At 50.6% G+C, this 15,083-nt stretch overlaps 1 protein-coding gene and 1 pseudogene across 3 annotated transcripts in view, besides 1 other annotated feature; one reads left to right on the plus strand and one right to left on the minus strand.

The window, feature by feature from the left end:
* Window positions 1,276-1,776: an enhancer, noted in NCBI's record as "H3K4me1 hESC enhancer chr19:15618980-15619480 (GRCh37/hg19 assembly coordinates)". NCBI's record gives its function as "activates a minimal SCP1, AML or CMV promoter by ChIP-STARR-seq in naive H9 embryonic stem cells {active_cell/tissue: H9 hESC(naive)}" and the evidence as "EXISTENCE:reporter gene assay evidence [ECO:0000049][PMID:30033119]".
* The window catches only part of CYP4F22 (cytochrome P450 family 4 subfamily F member 22), a 43,793-nt gene continuing 30,341 nt past the window's right edge, over window positions 1,632-15,083 (plus strand). The window contains exons 1-2 of one of the 3 annotated variants that reach the window (XM_011527692.3): window positions 1,632-1,690; window positions 2,697-2,900. The gene's annotated coding sequence lies outside the window, so the exon portion shown is untranslated. Of the gene's footprint in view, window positions 1,691-1,758; window positions 1,922-2,696; window positions 2,901-15,083 lie in introns of those variants that run through there. The other 2 variants (NM_173483.4, XM_011527693.3) reach the window with 2 other exon arrangements.
* On the minus strand, window positions 8,250-9,945 carry LOC100422106 (staufen double-stranded RNA binding protein 1 pseudogene; annotated as a pseudogene).

The raw sequence follows: 15,083 nt of genomic DNA on the forward strand, positions 1-15,083 counted from the left end.
TTGGCCAGAATTACTGGCAAAACAAAATTCATATCCCTAAAAAATAGGCTTTCATGCTGCGTTAATTATGAATAAAAAATTAATAAAATAAGCTCTTCCTCAGAAGTAAAAAAGATTAAAGACACAAATAAATATAAATATTTTTTTTTAAAAGTTCTAGGAGCTGGGAGAATGGCTTGAGCCCAGGAGTTTGAGACCAGCCTGGGCAACATAGTGAGACCCTGTCTCTAAAAAAATGAAAAAAAAAAATTAGCTGGGTGTGGTGGCACGTGTCTGTAGTCCCAACTACCCAGGAGGCTGAGGCAGGAGGATGGCTTGAGCCCAGGAGTCACCCCAGCCTGGATGACAGAGTGAGACCAATCAACTAACAGGGGGCACCTCCCCTACTCAAGCACCATCCATGGCTCCCCACTGCCCACCAGATCAAGATCCAGCCATTCAAACTGGCCTTCACAGTCAACTCCTGCATCCCTCCAGCCTCCACACCTCTCACACTCCAAGGCCAGGGAAAGCCATCTGCTAAGTCACACCCTCCAGTTTCTCTGTGCTTGAGCTCTACCCCCTCTCCTGCACTTGTTGAAATCCAACCTCTCCATGCAGTCCCAGCTCAAGTGTCACATCCTCCACGTCGCCTTCCCTGACCTCATGTCTGCCTCCTCCAAGCAGCAAAACTTCAATTACTTGTGTCTCCTCTTCTTCACCAGGAGACATGCCCCACACCTCCCACGCCCTCTTTCCAAGGGCCCAGCACCAAATGAGAGCGTATTCTTAGAAAAAAGAGGGATAAGGAAGTCTTCTAAGTTTACCACCTGCTGGGGCAAGTGGAGATTCTTGTCTTCTCATCTGTCTGCCCACGTGCTAAGGTCAGCCACACATCCACCCACCGACTCCGGAGGACAGACACATCCAGAGGCGGAGCTGACTCTGTCTCCACACATCTGGAGTAGACGGGTTGGCCAAGGACAACATCCTGGTCAGAGGGTCAAGGTGTCTGGCAGTGGGTGGGGAGGAGTGGCGGAGGGCGGGTTGGCGGGGAGCAGAACCAGTCTGGTGCTGCTTGTTGAGGTTGGAGGTCTTCCTGGAGGAAGAGGCTGCAGAGCCTCCAGGGGTGGGTGCCGGGGAAGCTTAGGCCCAGGATCCAGAGAGAGGGGAAGGGCTGGTTCCCAAGGGCTGGTGGAGCCAGAGAATTCCTGAGGGCCCCAGAGGAGGCTTCTCGGGGGGGTCAGTGGGGCCCCAGGGGGTGATGGTTTAGAGATCGCTGTCCAAGCTTGGGAGCAAACCTGGAAGTAAGGGCCATGGGGGGTGTTGGTGTGGGAGGAGTGTGGTCCAGAGCGGGACTTGGGCGCTAATGCGGCCCAGCAGTGGCAGGAGGGCGGGGAGCCTGATGGTTTGGGACTTCTAGGTGTCCAAGTCTCTGTCTCTCTTCATCTCTCCATCTCAGTCTCAGTCTCTCTCTCTTTCCATCGCTCTCCACCCCTCCACACGCCTATTTCTTGTTCTCTCCTTTTCTAGGGGGCAGCGCTGGAGTCCCCGCCCAGAACCCTGCGGGAGCCCGGGGCGGGATGTCCGGGGGCGGACCCCTCGGCACGGCCGGGCGGGGTTAAAGGGTTGGGCCGTGGGACGGCGCGGTCAGATCCCAGGTAGTGGCGCCGGTGGATCCGGATCGAGGGCAGGAGGCTGAGACCCGCGGGTGAGTGCGCGCGTGGTGAGGGCTGTAACCTGAGCGCGGCCGCGGCGCTGCGCTGGAACCCGAGGCTCGCGCGGTTCGGTGCTGGCGGGGCAAGGGCGAAGGTCTGCGCGCGGCGGCGGGCGGGGCGCAGCCGGCCACGGGGACCCCCCCAGGACCCAGGACGGGGCTGCATGCCCGGGGCACTCGTGGGGAGAGGGGCACGTGGGTGTGTCCCCGACGTTTGCTGCATTTGTGAGTTGTTTTCTTTTTTTTTTTTTCTGTGTGCGCCTCGGAGTCCTAGGCGCATCCTTTTCTCTGGGTATCTGTGATGGGCAGGGGGCCTCCAAAAGACCCCTCTGGTAGTCAGGACATCCCAGATGGGTTCAAGCCCCGCCCTGGGACGCCTCTTTGGGGCTGAATGGGGATTCGCCCTGAGATTTCACCACTGCACGTTGTCTTGACGGGGAGGTTGTAGTACATTCAACCGATGGGGTTAGGCTTGTGGTTCAACTGCTATCAGGAACCCTCTGCCCATCCATGCCAGACGCAGAGCCCCTCTATGAAAAGACGGTGTTCTTCTGGCCCCGAGAGTTGGCTCTGAGGGTTGTGTGAGGTCCTGGGGTTGGTCCCAGGTGATCTTCGTCTGATAGATGCTGGAAGGAAGATGTTTTCTGGCCTCCCAGGGGCCTGGCCCAGCCTGGGTATGCAAGTTGGCCGAGGCTGGCCACCTGGGGAGTCGCAGGCTGGAGAGGCCTAGGCTCAGGGCATCTCTCCTGGTTCATCTGCCCGCTCACAGCTCATTCATGCACTCATTGTGAGTCTCACCGCCCTGTAGGCAAAGGAGATGGCCAGGGCTGGCTGCGTACCCGAAATTCCTCCTACCCTGTGCCCCTTGCTCCACCCCTTATTTCTAGGTCCTGGAGCTGTGCCCAGCCAGGGCTGGCAGCATCAAACTCCTTCTTGTGTAACTCCAAACCCCAAAGAGAAGGAACCTCCCCAAATCTTCCCTACCACCCTCATTTTACAGGCACGGAAACTGAGGGCCAGAGAGAAGAAGCCTGTGCCTGTGGATACCCAGTGCCCAGTGGGAGAGCTGGGATTTGAAAAAACAAGCCCTGTTTGACCCCAAAGCCTCAGTCCACTTTCCGATGTCCCCGGCATCACCAAATGGCCCAGCTTGGGTTTCTGAACAGTAACATTAACTCTGGCCTGGTGTCTGGCGGTGACCCAGGTTGGTATCTGCAGAGGGGCTTGGATGACTTGAGAGGCATTCAGGGAATGGGACCCATCTCTCCTTCCTTCCTTCCTTCCTTCCTTCCTTCCTTCCTTCCTTCCTTCCTTCCTTTCTTTCTTTCCTTCCTTCTTTCTTTCTTTCTTTCTTTCTTTTCTCTGTCTCTCTCTCTTTCTTTCTTTCTTTCTTTTTTTGTTGTTGTTGTTGAGACAGGGTCTCACTTTGTCACCCAGGCAGGAGTGCAGTGGCATAATCATAGCTCACTGCAGCCTCGATCTCCTGGGTTCAAGCAATCCTCCTACCTCAGCCTCCTGAGTATGGAGGACTACAGGCATGCACCACCACTCCTGTCTACTTTTTGTATTTTTGGTAGGGATGGGGTTTCACCATGTTGCCCAGGCTGGTCTTGAACTCTTGGGCTCAAGTGATCCACCCGCCTCAGCCTCCCAAAGTGCTGGGATTACAGGCATGAGCCACTGCGCCTGACTCATCTCTCCTTGTTGATAAAACTTGGACCTGATTCTCCAAACCCCAGATGGCCAGGTCACAATAATGAACGTGATGGCAGCACCAACGGTAATGAGAGATATCATTGATCAAAGGCTTACTATGTGCCTGGAAGATTGCAGCCCCATGAGGTGGGTAAATAGGGCTTCTGTCTTAATGGATGAAGAAATTGAGGCTCAGAGAGGTGCAGACACTCACCCGAGGTCGCACAGCAAAGAGGCAGACCTTTATAGAATCTTTTCTGAGGCTCATGTCCAGGTGTGGCCACACTTGGGATGGTGGGCAGAAACAATTACAACCCTGCAATGGTCTAGATTATTAGTGGTTTTAAAACTTCTTTTTCTGCCAGGATCCCCTTTGGGCCAAGGAAATTATTAGCAAAAGGTTTGAATATGATCAAAGCTGCGATAGGACTGTCTCCTTTACCACATTTGCCAACTTGGCCCTGCCCTCATTAGTCATAAATGACTCTGAAGCTCTTTCTCAGAACCTTAGAAATTTAGAGTGCTGAGTGGAGACTGAAGACCTAGAAGCCAGGCTGAGTGTGGTGGCTCATGCCTGTAATCCCAGCACTTTGGGAGGCTAAGGCTGGAGGATGGTTTGAGCCCAGGACTTTGAGACCAGCCTGGGGAATATAGGGATACCATATATATATATATATATATATTTTTTTTTTTTTTTTTGAGATGGAGTTTTGCTCTTGTTGCCCAGGCTGGAGTGTAATGGCGTGATCTTGGCTCACTGCAACCCCTGCCTCCCGGGTTCAAGCTGTTCTCTTGCCTCAGCCTCCTGAGTAGCTGAGACTACAGGCATGTGCCACCATGCCTGGCTAATTTTGTATTTTTAGTAGAGATGGGGTTTCTCCATGTTGGTCAGGCTGGTCTCGAACTCCCGACCTCAGGTGATCCTCCCTCCTCCCAAAGTGCTGAGATTACAGGCATGATTACAGGCATGAGCCACCGCGCCCAGCACTATATTAATTTTTTTTAACAAAAAAATTAAAAAAAAATTAGCTGAGCATGGTGGCAGGCGCCTGTAGTCCCAGCTACTCAGGATGCTGAGGTGGGAGGATCACTCAAGCCCAGGACGGGGAGGTTGCAGTGAGCCAAGATCACACCACTGCACTCCAGCCTGAAGGACACAGCAAGACCATGTCTAAAAAACAAAACAAACAAACAACAACAACAACAAAACAACTTAGAAGTCCCCTCTCAGCTCCAGCCTTCTGGGGTCTGGCACTTTGGGGGAATATGTGAGTCTCTGGGGTAAGCCAGCCCTCTGATGTTGAGGAAGCCAAGGTGGCACCATGAATCAGTGGGGACGGGGGCAGGCTGCCTTGACTACAGGCTTGGAGTGAAAAGGAGGGCTGGGATTTGGGGTGATGGGGCCAGCGTTGGGGTGCTCTTCCATCAGGCTCCTGGCTGGTCCCAGCCCCTGCAGTTCAAGAAGAGGCATGTATCTCGTACCTGGCGTCGGCCTGGGTCCGTGCCCTCCACTCCTTCTTGGGAGCCCACACACCTTGTATAACAAGTCCTCAGTGGGTGAACGGCTGGGCCAACCTGACAAACCAGCGCGACCTGGGCGTGGGCCGGGACACGGAGCCAGTCGCTGGCTTTCACCACCACCAGATAATGCGGGCCCTGGCAGGGCAGGGCCACCTCTACCAAGGCGGGCCTGCTGGATGAGATCGGGGGCCGGTGTAGATAGGGAGTGGACATGCCAGCCGCCCACAACATTCTGAGGGTGTCACCTTTGAATTGCTCTCACTTCTATCAAATAGCAATAATAGGAGTAGTCATCATGGCTAACATTTTGTGAGCTACGTGACAAGGCCTTTCCATGCCTCATTTCACTGAGCCGTCCCAAAAACCTTAGGGGGTAGGTCCTGTTATTATCAACCCATTTCACAGATTGGCAAAGGGAGGCTGATGGCAGGGACTGGGTTCACCCAAGGCTGCTAACCTAGGGAATAGGAGAGCTGAGATTTGAACCCAGGCCTGTTGAAGTCAAAAGTGAACATTAAATTAAATTAAATTAATTTTAGTTTTTGAGATAGAGTCTCACTCTGTCCCCCAGGCTGGAGTGCAGTGGCAAGATTTTGGCTCATTGCAACCTCTGCCTCAGCCTCCCAAGTAGCTGGGGCTACAGGCATCCACCACCATGCCCAGCTATTTCTTTTTTTCTTGGTAGAGACAGGGTTTCATCATGTTGCCCAGGTTGGTCTTAAATTCCTGACCTCAAGTGATCCTCCCTCCTCAGCCTCCCAAAGTGCTGGGATTACAGGCATGAGCCACCATGCCTGGCCTGATTTTTTTGTTTTTTAGTAGAGACGGAGTCTCACTATGTTGCACAGGCTGGTCTCAAATTCCTTGGTTCAAGTGATCCTCCCATCTTGGCCTCCCAAAGTGCTGGGATTACGGGCATGAGCCACTTCACCTGGCTGATACCTTTCCTCCATTATCTAAACTCCATAGTTTACATTAGGATTCACTCTTTGTGTCATGCAGTAAACTAATGAATTTTTATAATTGATTCAATTTTTTTTGAATGGGTGACATGTGCTCATGGTATAGGAAACCAAAACGACTGGAAAAGTGGATAGTAAACTTAAGTTTCCCTTCCACCCCTGTCCCGAGTTCTTTCAGGCCCTTTCCAGAGGCTGCCACCATTTTTCCTGGGTCCTCAAAGCTTTTCTCTCTCTCTCTCTCTCTCTTTTTTGTATTACCATTTATTGGTGACAAACACTAAGTTTTACTCGCATTCCATGAGGAGAAAAACTCCAGTGTAAACGATGAATGGAGGCAGTACTTAACTCGCAGGGGTACCAGGCTTTCCATATGGACCACACACAGAGCCTCAGTGCACACACTTCTTTTTTCATTTTTATTTTTTTGAGACGGAATCTCGCTTTGTGACCCAGGCTGGAGTGCAGTGGCATGTTCTCGGCTCACTGCAACCTCTGCCTCCCGAGTTCAAGCGATTCTCCTGCCTCAGCCTCCTGAGTAGCTGGGACTACAGGCGAATGCTGCCACGCCCTGCTAATTTTTTGTATATATATATATTTTTTTTTTTTTTTTTTTTTGAGACAGAGTCTCACTCTGTCACCGAGGCTGGAGTGCAGTGGCGCGATCTCGGCTCACTGCAAACTCCGCCTCCCGGGTTCACGCCATTCTTCAGCCTCAGCCTCCCGAGTAGCTGGGACTACAGGCGCCCGCCACCTCGCCCGGCTAATTTTTTTTATTTTTAGTAGAGACGGGGTTTCACCGTGTTAGCTAGGATGGTCTCGATCTCCTGACCTCGTGATCTGCCCGCCTCGGCCTCCCAAAGTGCTGGGATTACAAGCGTGAGCCACCACGCCCAGCCTAATTTTTTTGTATTTTAGTAGAGATGGTGTTTCACCGTGTTGTCCAGGCTGGTTGCGAACTCCTGAGCTCAGGCAATCCGCACCCCCCTCGGTCTCCCAAAGTGCTGGGATTACAGGCGTGAGCCACCGCACCCGGCCCAGTGCACACACTTCTGTGTATAGTAACACAACATCAAAAGCAACACAACTGTATAAAGAAACATAGGTCATACTTTTCAGCCCTAATCGAGATGTAATTAATAGTATCGAGCACTCTGGAAAATCAGTCTGCAGTTTTATGTGAACTATGTGGAGATCATATCCTGTAGTGTAGTGAAAGCTAAGTCCTCAAGAGCCGTATGTATAGACACATGATTTTCTTAAAGAATATTTAAAATGGAGATCAAAGTTCATTTGTTTAAGTCCTGTTTGCATTAACAAAAATAAAAATAAAATAAAAATGGAAGCAAATGATCATCTAAAGTTTAAAATTCCTAAATTGTCCAATTTATACAACTGTGGGAGACTTATTCAAGGTTTTTGAAAGTCCAGGACTGTTTCAGCTGAACCATAGGGCACGTAATTTGCATCACTGAAATGGTGCTGGGTTAGTCAATGAAATAAAAATGTCTAACTACATACACGTGGATATGATCTTTGTCGGTTAGATTATTGATAAAGTCAGTCTCAGAAAAGTTTCCAAACTGTGCGATATAATTAGATACAGTTGAGAAACTCTCAAATGAAAATTTTATATAGTGTCGTCGGGCACGGTGGCTCATGCCAGTAATCCCAGCACTTTGGGAGGCCGAGGCGGGTGGATCACGAGGTCAGGAGTTCAAGACCAGCCTGGCCAAGATGGTGAAACCCCGTCTCTATTAAAAGTACAAAAACTAGCTGGGTGTGGTGGCCCAGCTACTCGGGAGGCTGAGGCAGACAATTGCTTGAACCTGGGAGGCAGAAGTTGCAGGGAGCCAAGACTGTGCCGTTGCACTCCAGCCTGGGTGACAGAGTGAGACTTTGTCTTGAAAGAAAGAAAGAAAGAAAAAGAAAGAAAGAAAGAAGGAAGGAAGGCAGGAAGGAGGAAAATTTTATATAGTGTCATACCAATAAAAAGGAAATAATGAAACTAAGAATACAGATCACTGTTGGAAGAGAAAGCAGTGGTGATGGTGTGGGCACTGCAGGAAGTGGTGGGGCCGTGGCACACTAGAAGTTAGGTCATGCTGAATAGGAAGCATTTGACTTTCTCTGGTGCTTTTAGCTCTGGGGCTGGTTGAAGGCCTCTCTCTGGTGTGGCTGTCCAGGGTTTGTCCCAACTAAGCCAGCTTGAGAAGGGGTCATGCTTTCAGTTTCTTCTTTCACACGGGAAAAAAAAGACCAAACAGGAAGGTGCCCAGGGCGTGGATCTGCTGGTGCCCCAGGAGAGCCAGCTGGCTGGGCAGCCCTTCTTCCCCAAAGGCAGCTGGTATTGCGTAGGGACAGCCAGGTCACCGAGTGGCCGTCACAACAAACCCCAGCACAGTCCAGCCCGGCCACAGCCACCTCCCCTGTTGTGTTCCCTGCTGCTGCCCACATCCTTTACCCACCGTCTCTCGGCCCACTAGAGGTATCAGAAATTCCAAATTTTCAAAGCAGTTTTAATATTTTCAGTGTATATGTTGGGATTTTATAATGGTTCATGGCCAGAAAAGGTTCAGCACCTCCCACACACAGACATTGATCCATTTCCTGTTCTTGGCATCTCTGTACTTTGTTGGTCCAACTCAGACAGCAACTTTAAGGTGTTCAGTGCAGCTGGCCAGGCACGGTGGCTCACGCTTGCAATCCCAGCACTTTGGGAGGCCGAGGTGGATGGTTCGCCTGAGGTCAGGAGTTCAAGACCAGCCTGGCCAATATGGTGACACCCCGTCTCTACTAAAAAGTACAAAAATTAGCCAGGTGTGGTGGCGCATGCCGGTAATCTTAGCTACCCAGGAGGCTGAGGCAGGAGAATTGCTGGAACCCGGGAGGCAAAGGCTGCAGTGAGCTGAGATAGCACCACTGTACTCCAGCCTGGGCAACAGAGCGAGACTCTGTCTTTTTTTTATTTTCTTTTGAGATGGAGTCTCGCCCTGTCACCCAGGCTGGAGGGCAGTGGCGCGATCTCGGCTCACTGCAAGCTCTGCCTCCTGGGTTCACGCCATTCTCCTGCCTCAGCCTCCTGAGTAGCTGGGACTACAGGCGCCCGCCACCACGTCCGGCTAATTTTTTGTATTTTTAGTAGAGATGGGGTTTCACCATGTTAGCCAGGATGGTCTTGATCTCCTGACCTCGTGATCTGCCCGCCTCAGCCTCCCAAAGTGCTGGGATTACAGGCATGAGTCACCGCGCCCGGTCGAGACTCGGTCTTGAAAAATAAAAAAGAAAAAGAAAAAGATGTTTAGTGCAGCCATATCATAGCAGGACTCAACATCCTTGCCAATACTATGTGTTAGATATAAGAGAATAAGTACATTCTATGTCTTTGTACTTTAACCAAGATATTTGTACTAGACATGCTCACAGGCACATAGTACATTCTACGTCCTTGTACTTTAACCAAGATATCTGTGCTGGATGTGCTCACAGGCATGTCCCAGCTCGCAGCCCATGCCCTTTCCTTATTTGGAAATATTATTGCTTTTCTAAGTCCTTTTGTAAGCAACTTCCTCTTTTCCTTTGCTCTCTATTGCCTTTACCTATTTAGGAAAGTTTTAAATTATTAGCCAGTCAGGTTTAATTTAGATTGTGAGGTCTTGCTTCAGCCAATGGAGACAGGACACAGTAGCAAGGACAAACTGCATAAGGGATAAAAATTGCTTCCCTCCTTTGTTCAGGTGTGCTCTCGCCATTATTCCATCTGCAAGGAGCACCCTTTATGCAGAAAGTAAAATTGCCTTGCTGAGAAAACTTATTATCTGAATGCTGATTTTTACTTGCAGTACCGAGGAACAAGCATTCTATTTCTGAATAAACATTTTACTTATAACACTATGGCTGATCAGAGGCGGCTGAGAGGAGCAATGGATAAGAGATACAAATTCATTCTTGTTGTTTTTGGGGAAGTCTTTGTATTCAACCTGGAATCCCTGGACTCTGGAAAGATAGTCCACTTGCTCAGAGGATCTCATGAGAGGTCCATGGGGTACGTGGCCTGAAGAGATGTTATTCTTTTTTTTTTTTTTTTTTTGAGACGGAGTCTGTTGCCAGGCTGGAGTGCAGTGGCACGATCTTGGCTCACTGCAACCTCTGACTACCTGGTTCAAGCGATTCTCCTGCCTCAGCCTCCCAAGCAACTGGGATTACAGGCACGCATGGCTGATTTTTTGTATTATCAGTAGAGAAGGGGTTTTGCCATGTTGGCCAGGCTGGTCTTGAACTCCTGACCTCAGGCAATCCGCCCACCTCAGCCTCCCAAAGTGCTGGGATTACAAGTGTGAGCCACCGTGCCCGACCTCAAATGATAATTCTAGGGTTTCCCCACAGTGGCTGCACTATTTTTTTTTGTGGGTGCCAGACAGAAGTGTTCTTGTTTGAGGGACAGGAGGACCCCAGCTGTGGAAAGTATAGGACTTCCCCAATGTACCTTTCATGGTGGTCTTCCCATGGGCATCTGGTGGACCTCTTGTCATGATTCCCATTTTGTAGTGGAGAAACTGGAGGCTTCCAGAGAGTGTCCCAACTGGGGACTCACAACATGTGGTCCTGCCTGGGGGCAGAGCCAGGGGTTGTTTGTCCTGGGAAGGACTTCAGCCCATGTCTGGTAGGGGGACGGGGAGGTGAAGCGGACACAGGGCTCCACAACTCCCCTCTCTCACCCTCCCCAAGCACCCATCTCCCCATGTACCCAGCCACCTGGAGCAGGGATCCCTCTCTAGGGCTGGCACCTTCTCTTATCCCAATTCTTTCCCATTTCATTCATTCCAGAAGACATTTCCTTTGTTGAGATTTCAGCTGGGATTTTCCTGGGTGCGAGTTGGGGGCTCTAGCTGTGATTTCACTCAGAAGTCTTCCAGCTCTCTTTAAGGCTTACTGGGAAGATGGAGTGAATGATAGTGAAAATCATCACACATAACAGGCACTCAATGATTCTTTGGAGAGTGATCTAGGGGAGGTGGCTGATTGTGGTGCAAAGGAGTGGACCATCAGGGCAGAGCTGGGGTTGGAGGATGAGGAGCTGGTGTGGGCACAGCTGAGGAAAGGAATGTGGATGGAGGGAACAGAATGTGCAAAGGCTCTGAGACGGGAAGTTGCTTGGCCTGTGGAAGGAGTGGCCTGGAGCAGCCTGAGGTGAGCAAGTGAGGAGGAGGGTGGTGGGAGACAGGGCTAGAGGCATCAACAGGGGTAAGCCATGTAGGTTGTTGTGGTCCATGACAAAAAGTCTAAATTTAGCTGGATGAGGTGACTCATGCCTAGAATCCCAGCACTTTGGAAAGCTGAGGTGGGAGGATTGTCTGAGACCAGGAGTTCAAGACCAGCCTGGACAACATAGCCAGACCCCATCTCTACCAAGAATTTAAAAATTAGCTGGGCATGGTGGTGCATGCCTGTAGTCCCAGCTACTGGGGAAGCTGAGGTAGGAGGATCTCTGGAGCTCAAGAGTTTGTGGCTGCAGTGAGCTATGATTGCACCACTGCACTTCTGCCTGGGTGACACAGCAAGACCCTGCCTCTAAAAGAAAAACCGTGATAAAAGGCCGGGCACGGTGGCTCACGCCTGTAATCCCAGCACTTTGGGAGGCCGAGGCGGGCGGAACACGAGGTCAGGAGATCGAGACCATCCTGGCTAACACGGTGAAACCCCATCTCTACCAAAAATACAAAAAAAAAAAAAAATTACCTGGGCGTGGTGGCAGGCGCCTGTAATCCCAGCTACTCAGGAGGCTGAGGCAGGAGAATAGTGTGAACCCGGGGAGCGGAGTTTGCAGTGAGCCGAGATCGCGCCACTGCACTCCAGTCTGGCGACAGAATGAGACTTTGTCTCAAAAAAAAAAAAAAAAAAAAAAGAAACAAAACAAAACACAGAAAAAAAAAAAAAAGAAAAACCGTGAAAACAAAAGAGTCTAAATTTCATTTAGAGCAAAGTGGGGAGCCATGGGAGAATTTTGAGCAGGGAAGGTTCATGATCTGATTTAATTTGAGGAAGATCCCTCTGGCTGTGTGTGCAGAATGGACTTCTTGCAGGGAGAAAGGATGGAACTCAGGGGACCAGTGGGAACGGGCCACTGCAGTGCTGGCCTGCTGTGGGTTGGGATGATGGGGATGGAGAATGATGAATGGATTCTGAAGATGTTTAGGATGGACAACTAGCAGGACCCGGCAACAGATTGGATGTGGCTGAAAGGGGGAGGAAGAGGGTGAGGTGAATCTGAGAGTCTAGGAGATGCCCCCAGGGGGATGTTCAGGAGCTGGCTGGACCTGGCAGTGCTGGACACTGAGACATGGGAATTGCCTTTGAGATAGGATTTCTGAAACCACGGGAGGGGTGAGATCCTCAGGATGTGGGCACAGAGGAAAGGGGGGACAACGTGGCTCTTAGAAGCCCCAACATTTACAAACCGGGTGAAGAAAGACGGGCTCAAAGCAGACTGAGAATGGGATTTTTTTTTTTTTTTTTGAGACAGAGTCTCACTCTGTCACCCAGGCTGGAGTGCAATGATGCGACCTCAGCTCACTGCAACCTCTGCCTCCCACGCTCAAGCGATTCTCCTGCCTCAGCCTCCCGAGTAGCTGGGACTACAGGCGCCCGCCACCATGCCTGGTTAATTTTTGTATTTTTAGTAGAGATGGGGTTTTGCCGTGTTGGCCAGGCTGGTCTCGAACTCCTGACCTCAAGTGATCCACCCGCCTTGGCCTTCCAAAGTGCTGGGATTACAGATGTGAGCCACTGTGCTCAGCCAGAGGAGGGGACTTTTTGAGGCTGAAGTGGAGGATGGGCAGGAGTGAGTTCCTGAAGGGCTTTGGATGCCAGGCTGAGGGGAGTAGGGAGCCATGCAGGGTGTTAGAGCATAGGAGTCACAGGCTGTTAGAAAGGGGATTGTGGTGGCTGGAATGGGACTGAACTGCAGCCAGGTGGCTCCTGGGGGTGGATGTGATGATTCATGTGACCCCTGTTGGCTGAATATGTTGACTCCCTCTCAGCACTTTTGGGCCTGCCAAGATGGTAACACCCACCCCACACCCACTGACCGGGCTGCAGACGAAAAGGTCACACTGGTGTGGACCCAGAGATCATCTTTTTATAGTCACCCCGAGGTACAAACAGGGAAACTGAGGACCAGGCCACATAGCCAATTGGTGAGGAGGCAGACATAGAATCCAGATGTTCATCGTGTATGTTTGTGTCTGTGTGTGTGTGCGCGTGCACAAGTACATGCATGCATTTAAAAAGAAAGTCTCAGCCCGGCGTGGTGGCTCAAGCCTGTAATCCCAGCACTTTGGGAGGCCGAGGCGAGCAGATCACGAAGTCAGCAGATCGAGACCATCCTGGTTAACACGGTGAAACCCCGTCTCTACTAAAAATACAAAAAAAATTAGCTGGGCGTGGTGGTGGGCGCCTATAGTCCCAGCTACTCAGGAGGCTGAGGCAGGAGAATGGCATGAACCCGGGAGGAGGAGCTTGCAGTGAGCTGAGATCGCGCCACTGTACTCCAGCCTGGGCGACAGAGCAAGCCTCCATCTCAAAAAAAAAAAAAAAACAAAAACTAAAAAAAGAAAGTCTCTTTCCCTTTTTTTGCTGTTTTTTTTTTTGAGACGGAGTTTTGCTCTTGTCACCATTTATTGGTGACAAACACTAAGTTTTACTTGCATTCCATGAGGAGAAAAACTCCAGCGTAAACAATGAATGGAGGCAATACTTCACTCACAGGGGTACCAGGCTTTCCATACGGACCACACACAGAGCCTCAGTGCACACACTTCTTTTTTCATTTTTATTTTTTTGAGATGGAATCTCGCTCTGTCACCCAGGCTGGAGTGCAGTGGCACGATCTCGGCTCACTGCAACCTCCGCCTCCCAAGTTCAAGCGATTTTCCTGCCTCAGCCTCCCGAGTAGCGGGTACTACAGGCGAATGCTGCCATGCCCTGCTAATATTTTGTTTTGTTTTTTTGTTTTTTTTTTTTGAGACAGAGTCTCGCTCTGTCGCCAGGCTGGAGTGCAGTGGCACGATCTCGGCTCACTGCAACCTCCGCCTCCTGGGTTCGAGCAATTCTCCTGCCTCAGCCTCCTGAGTAGCTGGGATTACAGGTGCCCGCCACCACACCTGACTAATTTTTTGTATTTTTAGTAGAGACGGGGTTTCACCATGTTAACCAGCATGGTTTCGATTTCCTGACCTCATGATCTGCCTGCCTTGGCCTCCCAAAGTGCTGGGATTACAAGTGTGAGCCACCACGTCCAGCTGTGATTGGCTTATTTCACTGAACAGGATGCCCTCAAGGTTCAACCCTGGTGTAGCATGTGTCAGAATGTCCTTGCTTTTGAAGGCCGAATAGTATTCCATTATGTGGATGGACCCTATTTTGTTTATACATTCATTTGTTGGTGGGTACTTGGGTTACTTCCACCTTTTTTTTTTTTTTTTTTGAGACGGAGTCTCGCTCTGTCACCCAGGCTGGAGTGCAGTGGTTCGATCTCAGCTCACTGCAACCTCCGCCTCCCAGGTTCAAGCGATTCCTGGGCCTCAGCCTCCCCATTAGCTGTGATTACAGGTACCTGCCACCACACCTGGCTAATTTTTTGTATTTTTAGTAGAGACGGGGTTTCGCCATGTTGGCCAGGCTGGCCTCGAACTCTTGACCTCAGGTGAGCTGCCCCCTCAGCCTCCCAAAGTGCTGGGAGTACAGGCATGAGCCACCCCGCCCAGCCTACTTCCACGTTTTAGTGATTATGACTTGTGCTGCTCTGAACATGAGTGTGCAAATATCTCTTCGAGACACTGCTTTCAATTCTTTGGGGGTATATCCCCAGAAGTAGAATGGATGGATTATAGGGTAATTCTATGTTTAATTTTAATTTTTTTTAAGATACAGGATCTCCCTATGTCACCCAGGCTGGGGTGCAGTCGCACGATCATAGCTCACTGCAGCCTCGAACAACTGGGCTCAAGCAATCTTCCCATCTCAGCCTCTAGAGTAGCTGGGATCACAGACATGCACCACCATGCTCAGCTTGTTTAATCTTAAAAGGAACCACCAGTGGCCGGGCGTGGTGGCTCACGCCTGTAATCCTAGCACTTTGGGAGGTGGAGGTGGGTGGATGGCCTGAGGTGAGGAGTTCGAGACCAGCCTGGCCAGCATGGTGAAACTCTGTC

Source organism: Homo sapiens, chromosome 19 (assembly GCF_000001405.40).
Source record: "Homo sapiens chromosome 19, GRCh38.p14 Primary Assembly".
NCBI classification, from domain to species: domain Eukaryota; kingdom Metazoa; phylum Chordata; class Mammalia; order Primates; family Hominidae; genus Homo; species Homo sapiens.